The sequence below is a fragment of the Homo sapiens genome, chromosome 21 (genome assembly GCF_000001405.40).
Source record: "Homo sapiens chromosome 21, GRCh38.p14 Primary Assembly".
In the NCBI taxonomy this organism is placed as follows: Eukaryota; Metazoa; Chordata; class Mammalia; order Primates; family Hominidae; genus Homo; species Homo sapiens.
Genome location: NC_000021.9, coordinates 36,200,948 through 36,224,737, shown reverse-complemented (window position 1 = coordinate 36,224,737; position 23,790 = coordinate 36,200,948). Strand labels below are relative to the sequence as shown.

General features: G+C 46.7%; 1 protein-coding gene across 5 annotated transcripts in view, besides 2 other annotated features; it reads right to left on the bottom strand.

Annotated features, from left to right (window-relative positions):
• DOP1B (DOP1 leucine zipper like protein B) overlaps window positions 1–23,790 on the bottom strand; it is a 137,451-nt gene that overhangs the window by 69,537 nt on the left and 44,124 nt on the right. For all 5 annotated transcript variants that reach the window (XR_937581.4, XR_007067795.1, NM_001320714.2 and 2 more), the window contains 7 exons: window positions 15,834–16,023; window positions 13,087–13,185; window positions 12,641–12,764; window positions 10,548–10,657; window positions 10,182–10,296; window positions 5,246–5,366; window positions 1,388–1,507 (listed from right to left, as the gene is read on the bottom strand). Coding sequence is in view for 3 of the 5 variants with exons in the window: in NM_001320714.2 (NP_001307643.1) it covers window positions 1,388–1,507; window positions 5,246–5,366; window positions 10,182–10,296; window positions 10,548–10,657; window positions 12,641–12,764; window positions 13,087–13,185; window positions 15,834–16,023 (879 nt within the window). In the remaining 2 variants the exon portion in view is untranslated. The remainder of the gene's footprint in view (window positions 1–1,387; window positions 1,508–5,245; window positions 5,367–10,181; window positions 10,297–10,547; window positions 10,658–12,640; window positions 12,765–13,086; window positions 13,186–15,833; window positions 16,024–23,790) is intronic.
• Window positions 13,234–14,168: an enhancer, noted in NCBI's record as "H3K27ac-H3K4me1 hESC enhancer chr21:37582868-37583802 (GRCh37/hg19 assembly coordinates)". NCBI's record gives its function as "activates a minimal SCP1, AML or CMV promoter by ChIP-STARR-seq in naive H9 embryonic stem cells {active_cell/tissue: H9 hESC(naive)}" and the evidence as "EXISTENCE:reporter gene assay evidence [ECO:0000049][PMID:30033119]".
• Window positions 14,773–15,067: a silencer, noted in NCBI's record as "tiled region #3517; HepG2 Repressive DNase matched - State 12:CtcfO". NCBI's record gives its function as "represses a minimal TATA promoter and a strong SV40 promoter by Sharpr-MPRA in HepG2 cells {active_cell/tissue: HepG2}" and the evidence as "EXISTENCE:reporter gene assay evidence [ECO:0000049][PMID:27701403]".

Here is a 23,790-nt window from a genome sequence, read left to right as displayed (position 1 = left end):
TAAAATAAACAGGCTACTAGATAAATGGGTAAGTTAAAAAGTATCTATTGCTTTTCATCTCATAACCCTGGGATGAATAAATTAACTGTAATAGGATCCACAGGCAACAGCAAAGCCATGTTACACTGAAGACAGACATTAATCTCAGGACAGGGATTAACTCTGGGATGAAAAGAGGACAAAATGTTGCAAAGATGGAGAGTCAGCTCTATCTGGGTAGAAACATTTTATTCTTTTTTTTTTTTTAATAACCAGGATGGCCAGATGCGGCGGCTCATGCCTGTAATCCCAGCAATTTGGGAGGCCAAGGCGGGTGGATCACTTGAGGTCAGGAGTTTGGGACCAGCCTGGCCAACATGGTGAAACCCTGTCTCTACTAAAAATACAAAAATTAGCTGGGTGTGGTGGCGTGCACCTGTAGTCGCAGTTACTTGGGAGGCTGAGCCTGTAGTCTCAGCTATTTAGGAGGCCAGGATGGGAGGATCGCTTGAACCTGGGAGGCAGAGGTTGCAGTGAGCTGGGATCGTGCCAGTGAACTCCAGTCTCGGTGAGAGACAGAGACTCCGTCATAAAATAAAAAATAACATAACAACCAGGCTGACCAAAGCATACTCTAACCTCAATATAATATGGCCTTGCTGTTGCCTGTGGATCCAATTGCAATTAACTTATTTTTCCCAGGGTTGTGAGCTTATTTGGGCAGAAAAGTGTAGTGGTAGCAGCTGAGAAGTAAGACTCTGAAACAGCCAAGAGCATTACAGTGGAGATGAACAAGAAATAAGTTTTACAGCATGCCTCAGGACAAAACAGGGTTTGAGACATGACCTTATTCCTCCCGTAAAGAAAATGGCATGGGAAAGGGCTCTCCAGGAAAGCTCGGTATTCCTGGGGTACGCCACTGCAAACAATTTAGGGGTGGTGCAATTCACCCGGTTAAAAGAGATGGTAAAGCTGATTATAGTAGCTTAAAACATTAATGCTTTTATCTGACCAGTTACATTCATTTCAGCAAGAGTTTCAAAAACACTCTATCCAGTCACAAAGCCACAAAACTAAGCTGCTTTCAATAGATCGGGCAGCCAGGAGAGGAAAGCTGATTTGATGAATGTAACCAGAAAATGCGCTGAGGATTTTCTAAAGTTAGACTTTTAAAGCAGCTTCAGAATTACATGGCAAAGATTATGTGAACCTTCTTATTGGAGATGTTTTTATTCTGCTAGAATCTTAAGTGAATTCTTTCCAATCCTGTTTTAGTTGAATTTTAAAACTCAGGAAAGACTACTCAGCTTCAGCTACTTATATATAATCTGATATTCTAAGCAGCTACAAAATTATTAAACCCTCTCATCCTTCCTAAATATTCTGCATTCTTGAACTGCATACTTACCTAAAGCATTCCTCAAAACACCTTGTCATATAATCCCAGAGAAAGTCTGTGCTTAGAGAAGTTATCAGCAAATTTACCGTTTTGACAATCTCAGAGGCATTTCTGTTTTCCTTGATTGCACTGTAAAAGGGGAGGACATGAATAAATATGTCTATAAAAAAATCCTGAATTACAAAAAGTGTCCAAAAAACTGTAATTGATTTCACCATCTGCAACTTATTTCTAGAGAAGCTGACACACCCTGATAAAAATGAAAATATTACTGTTCTTATAATGTGTTTGCATAATGCCATCGTAAACAATATTTATATTGATACAGTCTCTTAAAAATAAATTTCAGAGCTGGGTGCGGTGGCTCACACCTGTAATCACAGCACTTTGGGAGGCTGAGGTGGGTGCACCAGCTTGACCAACATGGTGAAACCCTGTCTCTACAAAAATACAAAAATTAGCAGGGCATGATGGCGGATACCTGTAATCCCAGGTACTCAGGAGGCTGAAGTGGGAGAATCGCCTGAACCTGGGAGGCGGAGGTTGCAGTGAGCTGAGATTGAGCCACTGCACTCCAGCCTGGATGACAGAGTGAGACTCTGTCTCAAAAAATAAAAATAAAAATAAAATAATAATAATTTCAGAGCTACTGTAAAAAGAATTTGTACAGAAAATCAGTTTTAGTCCATACTCTACTGGTGGAATAACATGGTACATGGATATTCAGCAGGGAAATTCAGCCAAGATTTTAAATGTTTATCTTCTTTTTTTTTTTTGAGACACAGTCTCACTGTTTCCTAGGCTGGAGTGCAGTGGTACAATCTCGGCTCACTGCAATCTCTGCCTCCCAGGTTCAAGCGATTCTCCTGCCTCAGCCTCCCGAGTAGCTAGGATGGATTACAGACGTGCACCACCACGCCCAGCTAAGTTTTGTATTTTTAGTAGAGACGGGGTTTCACCGTGATGTTGGCCAGGCTGGTCTCAAACTCCTGACCTCAAGTGATCCACCTGCCTCAGCCTCCCAAAGTGCTGGAATTACAGGCATAAGCCATAGCATCCAGCCTTAAATTTTATCTTCTATGGCTCAGGAAATTTATTCAAGAAATTTATCCTACCGAAATCCCTGCACAGCTACATAGATGTGTGCAGAAGTGTACCACTAAATGGCCATTAAAAAATACTGAAAAAGGCCGGGTGTGGTAGTTCACACCTGCAATCCCAGCACTTTGGGAGGCCGAGGCAGGCAGATCACTTGAGGTCAGGAGTTTGAGACCAGCCTGGCAAACATGGCAAAACTCTGTCACTACTAAAAACATAAAAATTAGCCAGATATGATAGTGGGCATCTGTAATCCCAGCTACTCGGGAGGCTGAGGCACGAAAATTGCTTTAGCCCAGGAGGTGGAGGTTGCAATGAGCCGAGATGGCGCCACCGCACCCCAGGCTGGGTACAGAGCGAGACTCCGTCTCAAAAACAAACAAACAGGCTGTGCGCAGTGGCTGATGCCTGTAATCCCAGTGCTTTGGGAGGCTGAAGCAGGTGGATCACGAGGTCAGGAATTCGAGGCCAGCCTGGCCAACATGGTGAAAACCCCATCTCCACTAAAAATACAAAAAATTAGCCAGGAGTGGTGGCAGGTGCCTGTAATCCTAGCTACTCAGGAGGCTGAGGCAGGAGAATCACTTGAACTTGGGAGGTGGAGTTGCAGTGAGCCAAGACCACATCACTGCACTCCAGCCTGGGCAACAGAGCAAGACTCTGTCTCAAAAGCAAACAAACAAACAAAACTGAAAAAGCAGAAACTGTCTAAAAGTCAATCAATAAGAAATTGGTCAGTCAGGATTTATTATTTTTATTTATTTTTTGAGATGAAGTGTCGCTCTGTCGCCCAGGCTGGAGTGCAGTGGCACGATCTTGGCTCACTGCAGCCTCCACCTCCCAGGTTCAAGCAATTCTCATGCCTCAGCCTCCCAAGTAGCTGGGACTACAGGCATGGCCCACCACACCCGGCTAACCTTTGTATTTTTTTTGTAGAGACCAGGTTTTGTCATGTTGGCCAGGCTGGTCTTGAACTGCTGACCTCAAGTGATCCGCCTGCCTTGGCCTCCCAAAGTGCTGAAATTACAGGCGTGAGCCACTGCACTTGGCCTTAAATAAATGATAAATCCTTAACAAATATCTAAGGCAACTAATCCCATAGGAGAATAGTGTAGAGCTACTCACAACTTGCATTTTAAAAAACAAGCAGTGGCCGGGCACAGTGGCTCACACCTGTAGTCCCAGCAGTTTGGGAGGCTGAGGCAGGAGGACTGCTTGAGGCCAGGAATTCAAGACCAGCCTGTGCAACATAGCAAGACCTTGTCTCTACAGAAAAATTAAAAATTAGCCAGGTGTGGTTGTGTGTGCCTATAGTCGTAGCTACTTGGGAAGCTGAGGTGTGAGGATCACTTGATCCCAGGAGTTCAAGGCTGCAGTGACCATTGATGGTGCCACTGTGCTCTAGCCTGGGAGACAGAGTGAGACCTTGTCATGCTGGAGAGTGACACTCCAGAGAGTACCAGGCATGGCGGCTCACACCTATAATCCTAGCACTTTGAAAAGCTGAGGTGGGCAGATTGCTTGAGCTCAGGAGTTTGAGACCAGCCTGAGCAACATGGTGAAACCTCATCTCCACAAAAAAAAAAAAAAAAAATTAGCTGGGCATGGTGGTGCATGTCTGTAGTCCCAGCTACTTAAGGGGCTGAGGCGTGAGGATCGCTTGAGCCCAGGAGACTGAGGCTGCAGAGAGCCATGTTCACGCCACTGCACTCCAGCCTGGGTGACCCTGTCTCAAAACCAAACAAACAAACCAACAAGAAAACAAAAAGAAAACCCCAAGCAACTAAATAACTGGTGTAATTCTACCTTTAAAATAAAAGACAGGCATCTATGTATTTATGTATGTAGTAGAAATCTAGAAAGAAGTAAAAATGTTTTATGGTTTTCTCTGAAGAGTGCTAGGATTACGTGTGACACCTTTTTTCTTGATCTTTCAAATATCAGTAAATGCAACAATGAGCATGTATTACTTTCATACTCAGAAAAACAATAAACCGCTTTCATTCTGGGAGAAAAAAGCAAACACTAAGAACTCTTAGTACACTTACAACTAACAAACCAGAAAAATATTAACATTGATTTAAATTTTCAATGTACCCAATGCTAGTTCAGGCAGAAGGAAATTACATTAAGAGTAAAGCAAAAAGGAAAAAGTTGTATTCCCTTAAAAGGAACAAAATAAACAAACAAAACAGGGTTTGTGTGTAACTGCGCACGTGAGGCCAATGTGCCCGCTGTCTTCCAAACACCACTCACTCTGCCTCTGGGGGAATGGAGCCTGTGCTCTCCGGTGCCCTGCCTGGGTCTCCCCCAATCTCCCCCAACACCCCCTGGACTCCTGTCCTGAAGACTCACATCCCCTTTCCACTTGCCAGGTGCCCTCCCCTCCATTTTCTCTGTTCTCTCTGCCCTGTAACTCACCACTTGGGTATACTAGATCAAGCTGCCTTTGTTAAACGAGTTTCATACTTGATCAATACATACATTTCATTGTTTCATACTTGATCAAAAAATCAATAAATACCTGTCCATCCCAGGCTGGGGGAAAGACTATATCAAACTCCCTTTAAACTCTTCACCGTACTCAGTAGGGAACAGTCAATTCCCATGGACTGACTTCAACGCATTGATTATTTTCACCAATGGTCTCACCTGCTGCATCTCTGCTTTCTCTACCACTTCACAATTTATAGTAAGCAAGAGAGGAAAAAAAAAATCACAGTACCGGGGAGGGAGAGAGATGCGTGAGGTTCAAGGCCAAACCCATACCTTATCAGCGAATTTCCACTCTGGGTGTAGCTAAGTTTAAGATCAGAGCCAAGGGCATCTCTGCAGTAAGAATAAAAGGCCCTGATGACTTCGAGAAACAAATTCCCAACCACTTGAGGCCCTGTAATTAGAAGGAAGATGGTCAGAGACAGATTAACAATCCCCTTTAAATCAGTAAGTGACATATGTATATACATAAGACATATATACAGTAAACCTGTGCAGACAGACATTTTATATAGTCTAAAATATACAGAAACTTAACTTTACTGGTGACAACTTTAGCTGGGGAAACAACATTCATGAAAATAGCCAACATTTTTGTAGAACTTCCTGTGTGCCAGACACCCTTCTACGCGTTTTACATCTATTAACGTATTAAACCCTCGTAACAGCCATGCAGACAGATCCTGTACTGCTGATTACACATAAGGAGATGGAAGCACAGAGAGGTTAAGTAACTTGCCCAAAGCAGATTCTGCTAGATAGAGGCAGAGCGCAGACTACGTGTGTTAAGTGTGCATAAACTGCTGGCCAGGGACGTTACTCAACAGAAATATCCAGAGAGCAGGGCAACTTCTTCAATTCCTTTAGTCATGAGCTGGAGCAACACAAAAGAAATGATGGCTATCCTGAAACGCTGAGAAAGATGGCACAAAAGAACTGGACCAGCTGCATGTTAGAGAAGCTTCCCTGCAACCAGGCAGGGGATGGGCAGGGCATTGCTGCTCCGCAAACCGCAACCCTCAGGCAGCTGAGGGCCTGACTTCTTACCCATGTATCCAAAGGCAGAAACACACAATCAATTCAGAGAAAATGAAAGCTCTGTCAACACTGGCAAAAAAGCAGATTAATCCAATCTTTTACACTTCTTTTCACAAAACCAAAAGATGTGCCTCTGAGAGAATTATTTTCATGCTAAGTTTCCTGTGTATTTTTTTTAAGATAGAATTTATTATTATTTTTTTTGGAGACAGAGTCTTGCTCTGTTGCCCAGGCTGGAGTGCAGTGGCATGATTTCAGCTCACTGCAACCTCCGCCTCCCGGGTTCAAGCAATTCTCTCGCCTTAGCCACCCAAGCAGCTGGGATTACAGGTGTGTGCCACCACGCCCAGCTAATTTTTATATTTTTAGTAGAGGTGGGGTTTTGCCATGTTGGTCTTGAACTCCTGACCTCAGGTGATCTGCCTGCCTCGGCCTCCCAAAGTGCTGGGATTACAGGTGTGAGCCACCGCACCTGGCCTTGGCTTCCTGTGTATTTTATCTACAGCATAAGAATGCTAAATGCTTGTTACAAAAATGAAGGCAATTTTGTTGCCTTGATTGATGGAGGAGGAAATGAGGTATGGCTAAAGCCCAGCCACAAAAAGTATGGACTGGACTGAATGGCCGTCCTGTGCCTTCTAGTTCTGTATAATCACCTCCTTTGCCTCCTGAGTGTGATTTCTTGCAGACAGCTAAAAAATTGGAAAGAGTAAATTAAGTGACTGTTATGATTGGGCAGGAGCGTGATATTCATTTGCTTCCAGAAAATACGACCTGGAGCCAAGTTAGCAGCAACGTTTACTTGGCTCACCAAGGTGCATGGCTTTGACATAAAACACACATCTCCAGAATGCTAAGTTATATTTTCTTCTTTTAATACTTCCCTGAAGTTACACAGCAAGCTCCCAATACATTTATATAAGTGTTCCACTTTTTGGACTAAATCATGATTTTTCAGAGCTGCAGTTACTCTACACTAGCAGGAAAATCTATTTGGTTTAAGGTGGGAGCGGGCAGATGGGAAGAGGAATCTGAACAAAGTGCAGACACCCTGAGGCAGCACATCATGGGCAGAGCCTGGAAGAACAAAAGCTTCATACTTGGACTTTCGTTAAGAATGACGAGAGCTGCACAACTCTTGGAATAAAGTTCACCTGGTGACAGAGGCAAACATCTCGGGTAGGACTTCTCTGAGTGCAATCAGGCAAGCATCGGGGGGTGCTGACAAACCCAGCTTAGGCTCCTGACTGGCCCTGGGCAAATTACCTACTCCCACCCAACCTTAGTCTTTCCATTTGTAAAACAGGCATAGTGGGAGAACCTACCTTGGGGTTGTTGGAGGGACAGAGGTGTGTGTGCAGACAGATATAAAAGGATGTATGTAAATCACTTGGCACAAAATAATTGCTCAAAAAATGTCAGCCATGGTTATTATTAATGAACAGTAAAAACACTCCAGGAACATGGAGTCTCCCCTTCCCTCTAACTTCATGAGAAGCTGCTCCCCTTTTGTCCCCCTAGAGCTGGCACCATCCCTGCCACATGGCAGATGCTCTGTGCTTTTGAATGGATAAGCGAAGGGCCTCCATCCCAAGGCCAGAGAGAGGCCACTTCACTAATGCCCTCAGCTCTCTTTTTTTTTTTTTTTTTTTTGAGATGGAGTCTCGCTCTGTCACTCAGGCTGGAGTGTAGTGGTGTGAACTCTGCTCACTGCAACCTCTGCCTCCCAGATTCAAGTGATTCTTGTGCCTCAGCCTCCCAAGTAGTTGGGATTACAAGTGTGCACAACCATGCCTGGATAATTTTTGTATTTTTAGTAGAGATGGGGTTTCACCATATTGGCTAGACTGGTCTCAAACTCCTCACCTCAAGTGAGGCCCACCTTGGCCTTCCAAAGTGCTGGGATTACAGGCATGAGCCACCACACCCGGCCAGCCCTCAGCTCTCTTGTCCTCTGCAAACAGCTACCAGGAGGTAGGTACACCTGGAGCACTGAAATGACATTCTTAGGCTTGCAATCCTATGGAAGACATGGGGATCTTTTCCCTGGTATAGGGCTCACATAAGCAGATGCAGACCTTAAAGTGAGCTGATATGGTAGCAAATTTCTTTTTTTTGAGACGGAGTCTCACTCTGTTGCCCAGGCTGGAGTGCAATGGTGCGATCTCAGCTCACTGCAATCTCCACCTCCTGGGTTCAAGCAATTCTCCTGACTCAGACTCCCAAGTAGCTGCGATTATAGGTGTGCACTGTCATGCCTGGCTAATTTTTGTATTTTTAGTAGGAATGGGGTTTCACTATGTTGGCCAGGCTGGTCTTGAACTCCTGACCTCAGGTGATCCACCTGCCTCAGCTTCCCAAAGTGCTGGGATTACAGGTGTGAGCCACCACACCTGGCCGCAAATTTCTTTTCTTTTTGAGATGGAGTCTTGCTCTGTCGCCAGGCTGGAGTGCAGTGGCGCAATCTCGGCTCACTGCAACCTCCACCTCCCTGGTTCAAGCGATTCTCTTGCCTCAGCCTCCCGAGTGGCTGGGACTACAGGCACGCGCCACCATGCCCAGCTAATTTTTGTATTTTTAGTAGAGATGGGGTTTCACCATCTTGGCCAGGCTGGTCCTGAACTCCTGACCTCATGATCCACCTGCCTCAGCTTCCCAAAGTGCTGGGATTACAGGTGTGAGCCACCACACCTGGCCGCAAATTTCTTTTCTTTTTGAGATGGAGTCTTGCTCTGTCGCCAGGCTGGAGTGCAGTGGCGCAATCTCGGCTCACTGCAACCTCCACCTCCCTGGTTCAAGCGATTCTCTTGCCTCAGCCTCCCGAGTGGCTGGGACTACAGGCACGCGCCACCATGCCCAGCTAATTTTTGTATTTTTAGTAGAGATGGGGTTTCACCATCTTGGCCAGGCTGGTCCTGAACTCCTGACCTCATGATCCACCTGCCTCGGCCTCCCAAAGTGCTGGGATCACAGGTGTGAGCCACCGTGCCTGGTCGCAAATTTCTTTTTAAAGTGAGGGAGAGGGCCAGGTGCAGTGGCTCACACCTGTAATCCCAGCACTTTGGGAGGCCGAGGCAGGTGGATCACTTGAGGTCAGGAGTTTGAGACCAGCTTAGCCAAGATGATGAAACCCTGTCTCTACTGAAAATACAAAAATTAGCCAGGCATGGTGGCACATGCCTGTAATCCCAGCTACTGGGGAAGCTGAGGCAGGAGAATTAATTGTTCGAACCCAGGAGACAGAGGTTTTAGTGAGCCGAGATTGCGCCACTGCACTCCAGCCTGGGCAACAGAGCGAGACTCTGCCATTCATTCATTCGTTCATTCATTCATTCATAAATAAATAAATAGTGAGAGAAGGTCACTTTTCTCAACCTATGCTCATAGGACCATAGTATCTAAGAAGGGAGCCTTTGGTGACCAGAGTCTAGTTCAACCCTCTTCATTTTACAGTGAAAATGTTTTTACTCTCCACAGTGAAAAGAAGTGGCTTGCCCAGGATCCCAAGGCAAAAAGATGGACGGGGTCCCCTACTTAATTGAAAATCAAACCAAAGCTCATTTTAAGTATGACATTGAAAAAATAGGCTTAAAAAGGAAATACCACATGTTCTGTAGACACTATAGGAGCTCAAAGGTATTTTCCTAACAAAAAATGTTCAAATTATTGTGCAAAACTTTTTTTTCAGACTGGGTCTCACTCTGTCGCCCAGGCTGGAGTGCCGTGGTACAATCACAGCTCACTGCAGCCTCGACCCCCTGGGCTCAGGTGGTCTTCCCACCTCAGCCACTTGGTAGCTGGGACTACAGGGAAGCACCACCACGCCTGGCTAATTTTTTTGTATTTTTTTATAGAGATGGGGTTTTTCAACATGGCTTTTCAGCCATATTACCCAGGCTGGTTTCAAATCCATGAGCTCAAGTGATCTTCCTTCCTCTACCTCCCAAAGTGCTAGGATTACAGGCATGAGCCACTGCGCCCAGCCATGCAAAACTTGTAAGTGACCACAGATATGATCATTGAACCATATAACATGACTTCAAAGTTGTGAAATTCCAAATATTAAATTATATTCAAAATAACGCTTTGGTTGTATCTCACCATGTTGTATTTCCCTGAAAACAGGTAATCTGTATTCAGCATAGGATAGAAGCAGCATTTCTAACATTACCTATTTCTGGCTTGTCAAGCAGACTGATGAGGACGCGAAAAGGCTTCAGGTATGCATGATGGCGTTCCTCCACGTCAGCATCTATGAACTTCTGATGCAATATCTCAGCCAAACCCTATTATTTAAAAAAAGCCACATATTAGAATATCGTATATCATAAAGTGTAACAACATTACTGGCTATTCTAATTGTTAAATACTCTGGGACAGAAGGAAAACCAGTCACCCAGCATGCAACAAATACCCTGCAGTTCCCCAAACCAGGGGCCAAGGAACGTGCTCACTGCCTATGTGGAAGCCTCCCAAAGAAATCCACTGGAGAATCGTCACCAAGGATACCCTGAACTTTCCGGAAATGCTCCTTTACCTCAACTAAAAGATCCTTGGAGTATTTTTCAAAAAAATAAGACGACTGGTCTTCATAAGAATTTGAGATTTCAGATTCTGGCACAACGGTATTTCCTTTTATGTCTGAGCCTACAAAAGAACAAGCGCCGAGCTGTAAAGAGAGCTGTGCTTTTAAAGGACATCATATTGTGCAAAAGTCTCATGCTCCAATATTTTTAAAAATATCATTCTTCTGATGGAAAACCAAAATCAGATCCAGAAAGACCACGTCAGATTTTCTTCTTCTGACAGTGGTGTGGCTAATGATCAGACAGGCAGAATTCCACCTCAATGGGTATCAATTTAGTTTGTTCTAAGAATTCACCCTGTTGGCTGGGCGCGGTGGCTCACGCCTGTAATCCCAGCACTTTGGGAGGCCAAGGTGGGTGGATCACCTGAGGTCAGGAGTTCGAAACCAGCGTGGCCAACATGATGAAACCCCGTCTCTACTAAAAATACAAAAAATTAGCCGGGCGTGATGGCGCACACCTGTAATCCCAGCTACTTGGGAGGTTGAGGCAGAAGAATCACTTGTATTTTTTAGTAGAGAAGGGGTTTCAGCATGTTGGCCAGGCTGCTCTTAAACTCCTGACCTCAGGTGATCCACCTGCCTCGGCCTCCCAAAGTGCTGGGATTACAGGCATGAGCCACCATGCCTGGCTGAGGATCACTTTTTAAAACCAGTGTTTTTTTGTCCAGCATTATGTGAGATCAAGGTATTCTCATGCACATGCTCCCATCAGCTGGAGCCCTGGATAAGTCTGCAAGGTTCTCAGGGCAAGAAAGTGCATCCTCATGGTATGGGCAAAGAATATGGGGCTCCTGGGGCCGCAAGTAAGTGAGCCAGAGCTGGCACTGTGGTCAGGCCCAGTGTCCTCCACACAGCATATCAAGTCCCGTAGGAGCAGAGCTGTGCCCTTGACAAAATCATCCTTTACATACAAATCCTTAAAGAGCCTACAAATAGTCTTCTTAAAATCCTTAGTAAGCTTCCATGCAATGACTTTCTAAAGTTTTATAACTAGGGAGAACAGCAGGAAGGACTGAAGAGGACTTCTTGACTTTGGTAAGATCTTTGATAAGATCTGAATGCTAGGCTGAGTGTGGTGGCATGTAATTCCAGCACTTTGGGAGGTAGAGGTGGGCAGATCACCTGAGGTCAAGAGTCCAAGATCAGCCTGGCCAACAGGGCGAAACCCCATCTCTACTAAAAATACAAAAATTACCCAGCCGGGGTGGTGGGTGCCTGCAATCCCAGCTACTTGGGAGGCTGAGGCAGGAGAACCACTCCAACTTGGGAGGCCGAGGTTGTAGTGAGCTGAGATTGCACCACTGCACTCCAGTCTGGGCGACGGAGTGAAACTCCATCTCAAAAAGGAAAAAAAAGATCTAAATGTTGAGAGTTGATCAGAGCTGTTAAGTCCTGTCACAATCGTTTTGTATACGTTTTCTTAGGTACGTGAATATGGGACTTTAGAAAATTCATGAACGTGTTATCTTTAAAGTTGCAATTTCCTAGGCTCTGTCCCTGGGAGGCCTTCCAACCAATAGTCAAGGGCCCTTTGCCAACAAATTTATAGGCAGTCCACACACTCTGACACACAGAAACATGGCCCAGGGGCTCTCGTGATCTCCAAAGTTATCCAAATGTCTCCCAAAACATTTACACTTACACAAAACCTCCTCCTTTATCTACATATCTTCCACAATATTTGTAAGTTTTCTCCACGATACACCCTCATCCCATGGAACTTCTCCATAGCAACAGGCTTCTACCTGAATAAGGTTTTGCTACCACTTTTTGGTGGTATTTCAAGCTCTTAAATGGAATTCAGTTGGCATTTTAAAAATCCCACTTATTATTTCCCCTTTTTTAAAAAAGAAACTGCAAAATAACCAAGCTATGTGTAGGCAGCAGACCTCAACTGACCAGTGCCATATTTAGTCATTGTGGTATCTTTCCATACTTCATGATTCAGAGATACATCACCAAGACCAAATCTTATTCCAGAAGTCAGCACTAAAAGGTTTCATATTAACTTTGACTTTAAAAGGGTGTATACTGCTCAGTACCTAGTAACCATGCATACAGTCTTCTGTTCAGGGACATGTCCCTTCTCAGTAGGGTCTGGGTGGCGGCTGAGAGAATGCGCACGATGTCAGATCTGAGGAGGGGGATGGCTCTCTCATTGGAATCCTATTAGAAGGACAGAGAAATTTACTGCAAGGGAATGATAGGGCAGATTGCTGACTTTTTGACACGCAGCCCTTCCTTGCTGGTCTGCAAAGCTCTATCTCAAAATGGGCTGGTTCCTTACACATTACCCATGGAAAGAAGCTATTCAATACGTGCAATGAAAACGCTATCCTTGCAAAAATGAACAAGGACTTTTCACTGGCTACCAGCAAATAATGCCCATGAGTGGCTGAGCTGTCCTCGTACGACAGAACTGCTTGAGATCTATATCCCACCCCTTGGGAAACACCAGTGACTTACCAGAAGAGTACAAATTACTTACCAGACAGGTATAAAATGGGAAGAAAAACAGAACGATTTCCAGATTATTTCTTTGCACAAGAACATTTGAGTCCAACAGGGAGGCACGCAAAGACTTCACCTGTAAACGATCAAACGGCACTAGCATTTTCAGGCTACTCTTTATGGTCATAAAAACGAAAGTAACCTTTCCCGGGAATCTTGAAACTCCTGCGTTATATCACTCAGAAGAGAACCAGCAGCCACAGGTCAGGAGGGTGTGGGTTCTAGCTCTCGAGGCCACAGGCTGCGTGACATCGGAGAAGACGTTCAGCTGCAGACCTCACTGTTCCACGTGAGAGCCGGAGGGGTTTGGACCAGATGGCCGGGTTCTATGATCTCAAATTCTACGATCCCAGAAAGGATCCAACAGGAACCTTAAACTAAAGCTCTGAAGACACATGGGAAAATAATTCCTGATCAATTCAGTAGATATTCTGAGTGTCTTTTCTGAATACAGATAGGTAGACTAGAGATGCATAAGAAATTAGAGCCACAGACAAACGCTCAGAGTTCAGAAGAGGAGAGCTCTTTCAACTGCAGAGAACAATGATGCTCCACGGGAAAGCTGGGCTTGAAGAACAGGAAGGAGCTACACTGAGACCTCGAAGAAGGGCAGGAATGCACAGCCAGGGGGACAGAAGGGAACAGCCGGGAGCAAAGGCACTGTGAGGCCAGGCCCTGTGGCAGTCGTGTGGGAGCGCAGGGCCTGCAGGGAAGAGTGAGGTGCTGTGGCTGGGAGCAGATGGTTAGAATGCTCTTGAGCTTGGACTATAGCTGTTGGCAATGGGAAGTCAGATATTTTTATTTTTTTATTTTCTTTGAGACAGGGTCTTGCTCTGTCACTCAGGCTGGAGTGCAGTGGTGTGATCTTGACTCACTGCAACCTCTGCCACCGGCGTTCAAGCGATTCTCGTGTCTCAGACAGCTGAGTAGCTGGGATTATAGGTGCCCGCCACCATGCTCTGCTAATTTTTTTTGTTTGTTTTTCAGACAGAGTCTCGCTTTGACACCCAGGCTGGAGTGCAGTGGTGCAATCTTAGCTCACTGCAACCCCCGCCTCCCAGGTTCAAGCGATTCCTTTGTCTCAGCCTCCTGAGTAGCTGGGACTACGGGCGCCCATCACCACACCCAGCTCATTTTTGTATTTTTAGTAGAGACGGGGTTTCACCATGTTGGCCAGGGTGGTCTTGAACTCCTGGCCTCAGGTAATCCACCCGCCTCGGCCTCCCAAAGTGCTGAGATTACAGGCATGAGCCACTGCGCCCAGGCTAATTTTTGTATTTTTAATAAACGTGGGGTTTCATCATGTTGGCCCGGCTGCTCTTGACCTCCTGACCTCAAGTGATTCACCTGCCTCAGGGCTCCCAAAGTGCTGAGATTACAGGCATGAGTCACCGCACCCAGCCGGGAAGTCAGACATTTTTAAAGCACAGGATACATATGAGCAAAGCTAGGCTTTCTCCCCATCCCAAATCTCTTAGCAGATTTGGGATGGGAAGAAACCAGTCAGATCCAAGAGTAAGAGACAAGAAGCCAGAGCAGGGCTGAGACGATGGAGAGAAAGAGACAAAGGGGATACTGACGGGGCAGGAAAGGGACGTGTTCATCGGGGTCGCCTGTGTCCTGATCATTGTGCGAGGCGCTTTTCATCCATTTTTCCACCTTGTCATCAGAGAGATCCTGTGAAGCAGGTCTACAACCCCCATTTTGCAAAGAGAAATGGAACCAGAGGGTAATTCACACTCAGCTGCAGATCTTCTCACCTGCGAATTCAATCTGAACACTTTAAGATCAAAGTGTGGGAACACCACCAGGTGGCGAAAGACAGCAAGACACAAAAGCACAAGAGGCAGGTTTGGGGAAAAGAGACAAAGATCTGGGAGGTTACCATTTCTAAGGGCACGAGAAGGGATGTCGTTACCAGGGAAGAGAGCTTCCCTTGAAGGGCCTGGAGATGGATACCTGGGGGACCCCAATAATTTAGGTTTGAGAGCAGCCAATGGAGACAAGAGAGGAGGGGGAGGACGCCAAGGGAGGAGGGGGTTTCCATGTGTGAGTGGGCAGTGGCCCCCGTGACACAGGACAGAGGAAGGAAACAAAGACCCGCCAATGCAGCAGACCCTCTGCGTGCAGAGGCCGTCTGAGCGCCGTGTGCAGCTAAGCACATTTCTGCAAAGCCAGGGGCCTCCAGAAGGGACCTCTGAGGGTGTGAACACTTATTTGAATGTATGAATCTTAATGCCACTTTGGGAGGCCGCGGTGGGTGGATCACCCGCCAGGCAGGCAGTTCGAGACCATCCTGGCCAACATGGTGAAACCCCATCTCTACTAAAAACACAAAAATTAGCCGGGCATGGTGGTGGGTGCCTGTAATCCCAGCTACTCGGGAGGCTGAGAGAGGAGAATTGCTTGAACCCGGGAGGCGAAGCTTGCAGTGAGTCGAGGTTGTGCCACTGCACCCCAGCCTCGGCGACAGAGCGAGACTCCGTCTCAAAACAAAAACAAAAACAAAAAAAACCTTAATGCATATGTTAAAAAAGCCACCACCAGCCTCAACTGCACAAGGCCTCCTTCTCGCCTTGCTCAGCCGTTCGTTACCCAGACTTAAGCTTGGTGCACCTCCCTTTCCTGGATGTCCCTTTGCAGCTTCAGTGACAACCTGCCCATGAGGATGCTGTGCCCACATGTCGCCTCCTCCCCATGCCCTGTGAGGAACACAGCACCCACCGTGAGTTGGTGATTGGTCCCCAGCATGTACTTCTGCTCCCGGCCGGGGGCATCCCTGTTGATGTGGCCCACCACGAAGACTGAGGCAGGGAGGCGGATGGACGGGCTGGCCAGGACGCTCCCCCAGAGGGCGGTGTAAAACACCTCTTTGCCAACCACCAGCGACAGTCTCAGGAGCAGAGCATCCGTTCTGTTGATGAGAGAGGATAGGGTTCAAGGGCTCGCCCCATCTTCCCGAGTCCCACTGCACACTGCTCTGCGAATGCTGCATGAAGAACCACAGCGGATTCGCCTGGCTGGGGAAGCCCCACCTTCCTCATCGCCGGGAGCCGCTGCCATCTCTCACCCTGCTGTGTGTGTCCACCTGCTGGCTGTCACACTGACCCTGGATTTGCCAAAACCAATGTCACTAGGCAGCGCGGTGTCTTGGCCAATGGAAAGTGGCTAAGCAGTCGTGCGTGGCAGGGCAGAGACCCATCTCCACCCTGGCCGTGCCACGGATGCCTAGGTGCTCACGGAAGGGAGGTTCCACCATAAGAGGGATAGGCAGGTCAGCCACTTCACAGAAAAGCGGAAGGAGCCATTGGTGTATCAAAAACAAGCATATGCTGAGGAGACTGATCAAAGACTTAAGCAATTAGATGCCACCAACTTGAGCACAGCCAAAAATGTGCCAAGTGACATCTGCCTTTAGAAATGCTAGGGGCAAATCTGCCTGGGGCCTCCCACGACCCTGCAAATTCCATCAGCCTGGAGTGGTGTTTCCTTTCAGTCTGCCCACAGCACCTGCATGTGCTGACTCCCGCTCCCAGGGGCTCTTGTGCTGAGGCCGGGCATTTGTTCGCCTCTTATCTTTATCTAGGTCTCCCGTGATACAAAGTCAGCACCTTCTCATGCATCCTTTTAAGAGAAGCAGCGTCACCAGTGGATCAGGGCTCGTTTTTCCCCTGACGCTGACCAAGGCCAGGCCCATGTCTGTTCGGTGGTGTCCCTGCAGCTGACTGCGGCCCTTTCCCTGTCCTCAGTGCACACAATCTGCAGGCTGGGTGACAGCATCTACCAGTAAAACAGCAGAGGCACATTCCCCCTAAGGGATATCACCCCACGAAGGATCTGACTCATTACCTGAAAGGATTCAGTTTCTCACATGCTTCCTATCTGCAAAGACCACAAAAAACAATCAGAAAAACCAACCCGGTGGAATGTGTTGGTTCACAGAGCTTGCCAGAGTTGGCCCTCCCGTGTCCAGATCCTGGTTGTGATGCCTCCTAGATGCAGGACCTAGGACCAGTTTAACATCTGTGCACGCCCGTGCTCAGCTAAAAGACAGGGGAAGGAGCCTCGACCTCGTGGAGATGTTGTGAGAATGAAGTGAGAGTCCCCTCAAAAAAAAAAAAAAAAAAAACAAAAAAAACTGTTTGGCTGGGCGTGGTGGCTCATGCCTGTAATCCCAGCACTCGGGGAGGCTGAGGCGGGTGGATCACCTGAGGTCAGGAGTTTGAGACCAGCCTGGACAACATGGTGAAACCCCATCTCTATTAAAAATGCAAAAATTAGCCAGGCATGATGGCAGGTGCCTATAATCCCAGCTACTGGGGAGGCTGAGGCAGGAGAATTGCTTGAAGCCGGGAGGCGGAGTTTGCAGTGAGCCGAGAGGCCGTCACTGCACTCCAGCCTGGGCAACAGAGTGAGACTCTGTCTCAAAAAAAAAAAAGAAAAGAAAAAAAGAAAAAAAAAAAACTCAACCCAGAAGAACAGACCTAATGCTTGGGCCATGCCGCCTGCAATTACTACTAGGTCCACTCTGTTTGCTGTCACAGCCCCAGTGCCTATTTGAGCAAGTGACTCCAGGTTGGCACTCGAAAAACCCCTCGGTTAATTTTTTTGTATTTCCTTCAAAAATATCTACCATCGCGTTATATTAAAAGTACATTTTGTTCTCCTTAAAATTAGTCTGAACTTCCTGTAAAATATTGCAGGAAATAATGCATGGTACCGTCTTCTTAGAAAAAATAAAAATGAAGAGACATAAGTAATGGCTAAGTGTATAGAAGAAGTAGGCAGGGCGATTTAATGGCTGAGGTTATTGATTGGTCTTCTATTAAAGGCTGAGTAAACAAATAGAGCTTGTCTTTGCCTAGCTCTGAAATCATCACAAACACTATAATGCACACATCGTGGTGTCACAGTCCCCCTTTAATTAGAACTGCATATTCCCAAAGTATGTTCCATGGAACACTGGCCACTAGAGATGTTCCACAGAAGAGGGGTTCCACCCTCAAAAAGTATGGGAAACGCTGCCTATGTTGTCTCTTCAATATTCTGAAAACTGGCTACTAGCTTTCTATTAAAGAAATAATTTTTTTTTTTTTTTTGAGGCAGGGTGTTACTCTGTCACCCAGGCTGGAGTGCAGTGGCATGAACACAGCTCACTGCAGCCCTGACCTCCTGGGCTCAATCAATTTTCCTGCCTCAGCCTCTGAGTAGCTGGGACTACACACCCATGCTGCCACACTGGGCTAATTTTTGCATTTTATATGTAGACAGAGTTTCACCATGTTGCCCAGGCTGGTCTTGAACTTTTGGCTTCAAGTGGTCCACCCTGCATGGCCTCTCAGTGCTGGGACTACAGGTGTGAGCCACTGTGCCCAGCCAGCTTTGTTTTTTAAGTCTCATTTTATTCTAAAAAAAATGGATGCATACTAACAATTTAAATGACATCATAGTAGAAACAACAGCAACTATGACAAACCTTTGGTATGAGAGAGCAAAATAAACGGGGTTAAAAACGAAATAACTTCCTACTCAACAAGAGTTACTATGATCATCTCGGTTGTTAAATTCCAATATTAGTGTGCAGTTTACAGTCCAGAACTCTAAACTTTTTTTTTTTTGAGACGGAGTTTCACTCTTGTTGCCCAGGCTGGAGTGCAATGGCACGATCTTGGCTCACTGCAACCTCTGCCTCCCAGGTTCAAGTGATTCTCCTGGCTCAGCCTCCTGAGTATCTGGGATTACAGGCAGCCGCCACCATGCCTGGCTAATTTTTGTATTTTTTTTTTGGTAGATACGGGGTTTCACCATGTTGGCCAAGCTGGTCTTGAACACCTGAGCTCAGGTAACCCCCCGCCTCGGCCTCCCAAAGTGCTGGAATTACAGGCATGAGCCACCATGCCCCACTGGGAACCCTAAACTTTTAATTCAAAACCAACAAACGGGCCAGGCACAGTGGCTGACACCTGTAATCCCAGCACTTTGGGAGGCCAAGGCAGGTGGATCATTTGAGCCCAGGAGTTCAAGATCAGCCTGGCCAACATGGTAAAACCCCGTCTCTACTAAAAATACAAAATTAGCTGGGCATGGTGGTTCGCACCTGTAATCCCAGCTTCTCGTGAGGCTGAGGCAGGAGAATTGCTTGAACCCAGGAGGTGGAGGCTGCAGGGTGCCAAGATTGCACCGCTGCACTCCAGCCTGGGCAACAGAGTGAGACTCCATCTCAAAAAACAAAACAAAAACAAACAAAAAACCAACAAACATTAAAAAAAAAAACCCAACTTCCAAACCCCAAGTATTTCCATCCTTCCTAACTCATCCCAGCTTATGCTCTCTCATGCCTCCTGCAAACGCAGCTCCTTCAAATGACACTGGCATGCTCCACTCCACAACTGAGAGCAGGTGAGTGGCATGGGCCGGGCACCGCAAATCCCAAGCACTCCACAACTTTGGTTCTGCAGCTGCTTGCCAAAAGGACAACCATGGAAAGCCAAGCTGTCACAAGACAGCACCGCTTTGGTACAATCATCTGAAACTGAAGAGGCAGGGCAGTGACAACAGCACCCTGTACTGTAAACTGCAGGTCAGAAACAGCGCTAAAGAGGGGGCAAAAAAAAAGCCTCGAACCAGCACAGATCATGATCACAGTGCCTGAAACCAACCAAAAGAAATGTTGGTGCTGGGTGCAGTGGCTCACGCCTGTAATCCCAGCACTTTGGGAGGCTGAGGCAGGTGGATCACTTGAGGCCAGGAGTTCAAGACCAGCCTGGCCAACATGGTGAAACTCCGTCTCTACTAAAAATACAAAAATTAGCCAGGTGTCATGGTGCATGCCTGTAGTCCCAGCTACTCGGGAGGCTGAGGGAGGAGAATCGCTTGTACCCGGGAGGTGGAGGTTGCAGTGAGCCAAGATTGCGCCACTGCACTCCAGCCTGGGCGACAGAGCGAGACTGTCTCAAAAAAAAAAAAAAAATAGAAATGTCAGCCAAAAGGGGTGGCTCATGCCTGTAATCTCAGTGCTTTGGAAGGCTGAGGCCGGAGGATCGTTTTATCCTTGGAGGTTGAGACTGCAGTGAGCTATAATCCTGCCACTGTACTCCAGCCTGGGTACACAGCAAGACCCTGGAATTCAATGTGATCATGTGGGTCATGCACGTCGCAAGTGCTCAGTAAAGGGTCCATTTGTTTCCTCCACGATAGGGGCCCTAAGAGGGTACGTCTTCCCCTCTTCATATGGTGACGCTGTGGGTAACTCTTTAATGGGACAGGACATCATGGAAACTCTGTACTATGGCCTCCCTTATTAATGAGCTCCAAAAGAAAAGAAATGTCAATAAATATTTTTCAACTCTTTAAGCCAGGGTTTCTGAACGTCCACCCCACTGACATCTGGGACCAGGTAAGTCTTTGTTGTCGGGGCACCTGTGTGCATTGTAAAATGTTCAGCAGCTCCTGGACTCTACCCACTAAATATCAGTAGCACCCTCCCCACCCCCAGTTGTGACAGCCAAAACTGTCTCCAGATATTGTCAAATGTACCCTGAGAGGCAAAATTACTACTACATTGAAAATTACTGATTTAAATGGAAATATCTGGTGAGCTAGTTGTTGCCTTCTTACAAACCATTTAAAACATTCACCTCTCCTCATCTCCTGAGAAGAAGAGTTTAGTGCTTTCCCTGTTCTAATCTTGTTTTCTTAGTACAGCAAAACACAGCTATGTAGCTATTTCATGGGCACTTAAAAAAAAAAAAAAAGGATTTCTGACCAGTCATAGGTTATCTGCAGACCCCAAAGGGTTAGAAAGCCAGGGTGGATAATAAGTTCTAACAGGGGCCAAAAGTTTCATTCCTTATGGTTCACTAAAAAGCACACACCAGGGACAGCCTCCACCTACATGAAACCTGTGAGTCATCCCAGCCTTCACCAGCTCAACCTAACTCACCACTTTGCAATTTCTACCCACGTGCTCATCATGACCCCCCCCACTGCACCCTCCCTTTCTGCTCTCTGCACATTTGTTGGGGTGTTTCACTCAATTCCCAAGCACTTTTTTTCTTTTTTGAGATGGAGTCTTGCTCTGTTGCCCAGGCTAGAGTGCAGTGGTGCGATCTTGGCTCACTGCAACCTCCACCTCCGAGGTTCAAGTGATTCTTCTGCCTCAGTCTTCCAAATAGCTGGGATTACAGGTGCCTGTCACCACACCTGGCTACCCAAGCACTTCTGGGAACAGTTACCAAACCGTCTCAGACTGAAATGGATATAGCAACCAAAAAATCTTGTACAGTCACTTCAATTACTGTGGCTGCAACACACTGGCTCAGAGATTATTGTATAACCTTTCACCTGCATCCACCTTGGAGAGCTGATAACTAATCACTTCTGGGTGCCACACTGCATTTGGTTTTCTGTCACAGCTAAATAGATTCGGTGATTCATGAAGCTTTACTTGGCTCTTGGTTCAATGTCAAGAAATCACAATATTCAGAAAAAAAATCAATGTTAAGCAACTTTAGCAACTGTTCAAATGAACCTTTATTTATCAACTAAGAAAACAAAAACACTCCAACTATTTACACTTCTAGTGTGATTCACACAGATTTAAAAGATCACAGTAAGCTTTAGGGAACTAATGTGTTCATCTGTCCAATGATGGAAAAATCATGTAGGATGTATACTCACATATCTGTCATCAGAACACAAACACAGCAGAACTTCTAGAAAGGGCCTGGGATTAGGAGTCCATTGGCATGGAGTCTGGCAATGTCCTCCAGCTGCCTCCTATGTGACCTGGACCACTCGTTAACTCAACACACACTTACCGAGTCTCACCGTGTACCAGCCACAGGGCCTGGCGCTGGGCTTAAAACCGCAACGAGACAGATTCTGCCTCCTAAGGTAGAAACTGTAAAGGTGGATTCTCCTTTGGGAAATGGAGAGCCAACACCTGGTCTATGTGAGAGCTTGAAATGGTTAAAGTGCAATGTTTTAGTTACATCTGTCAAGTCCTGATATAGAGCTCACGAAATGCACCCTTGGCCACTTCCTAACTAACCCTTCAAACCATTCTGATTACTTGGTTTACTTAAGGCTGGGGGAGCCGTGCAAATGGACCTTGGATTGATTCCTGGGTTAGACTCCAGCCTCCTGCACCCCTCAGTCACAGCTGACACCACAGGAAAGGGTGACCTGACTAGGGCCTCCAGCACAGGGTAATATGAGCAGCGCGTTGTGTAATCACATGGCAGCTTTTACAAGCACAAAAGTCACCAGTGACTGAACATGGGCTCTTAAAACAGGTCCCATTAACAGAGGTGAATCACTGTGGCATCTCTCAGAAGAGTTAATAAGCTGGAAGTGAGTTCTTACTTTATACTTCTCCGGAAACAAAGGTCACTGTGTATACTCAACAGTCTGGTTTTTGTTTGTTTGTTTGTTTTTTTCTGAGACGTAGTCTTACTCTGTCACCCAGGCTGGAGTGCAGTGGTGCAATCTCGGCTCGCTGCAACCTTCACCTCGCAGGCTCAAGCTATTCCCCTGCCTCAGCCTCCCAAGTAGCTGGGATTACAGGCGCACACCACCATGTCCGGCTAATTTTTTTGTATTTTTAGTAGATATGGGGTTTCACCATGTTGGCCAGGCTGGTCTTGAACTCCTGACCTCAAGTGATCCACCTGCTCTGGCCTCCCAAAGTGCTGGGATTACAGGTGTGAGCCACCGTGCCCGGCCATACTCAATAGTCGGAACAGATTCACACTTTCTCCCATTCCTAAGCAGTGACCACACACACACACACACACAAAGCTACATGAACTTTTGTGCATATGAGTGCTATAGATTTCTCCAAGGTGCTACTGAAACCTGTCAAGATATTCTGCTTCACATCACACTAAATTGCCTTCTCAAGCCCTGCCCTGGCTTTGCTTTTTAATTTAGAAGCAGCCTAGTTTAATGGAAAGAAGAAGGACTTTAGAATCTGATATGAGCCGTGTGTGGTGGCTCACGCCTGTAATCCCAGCACTTTGGGAGGCTGAGGTGGGCGGATCACTTGAGGCCAGGAGTTTGAGACCAGCCTGGCCGCCAGAGGGAAACCCCATCTCTACTAAAAATACAAAAATTAGCTGGGTGTGGTGGCACGAGCCTGTAATCTTGGCTACTTGGGAGGCTGCGGCGGGAGAATCACTTGAACCCAGGAGGCGGAGGTTGTAGTGAGCCGAGATCGCACCACTGCACTCCAGCCTGGGTGATAGAACAAGACTCTGTCTCAAAAAAAAAAAAAAAAAAAAGAATCCAATAGATACAGTGGAATAGAATCCCAGCTGTGGGGCTCACTGACTGTGCGACTGGGAAACCTTCTTACCCTCTGACCCTCACCTGTAAATGGAGGTAACTCCTGGAGCAGAGGAATTCATTACACAATGTGATCATGTGTGTAATGCACGCTGCAAGTGCCCAGGAAAGGGTCCCTTCATTTCCTCCACACTAGGCGCCCTAAGAGGGTATGTCTTCCCTCCACACATGGTGACTCTGTGGGTAACTCCGTAACGGGACAGGACATCATGGGAACCCTGCACTATGGTCTCCCTTATTAATGAGCTACATTTCTCTCCGCCTAAAGGATCTCATCTCTCCGGGCTCGGGACTTCCCCTTTGGTAAAGAGACAAGAGAGATTCCCGGGAGGAA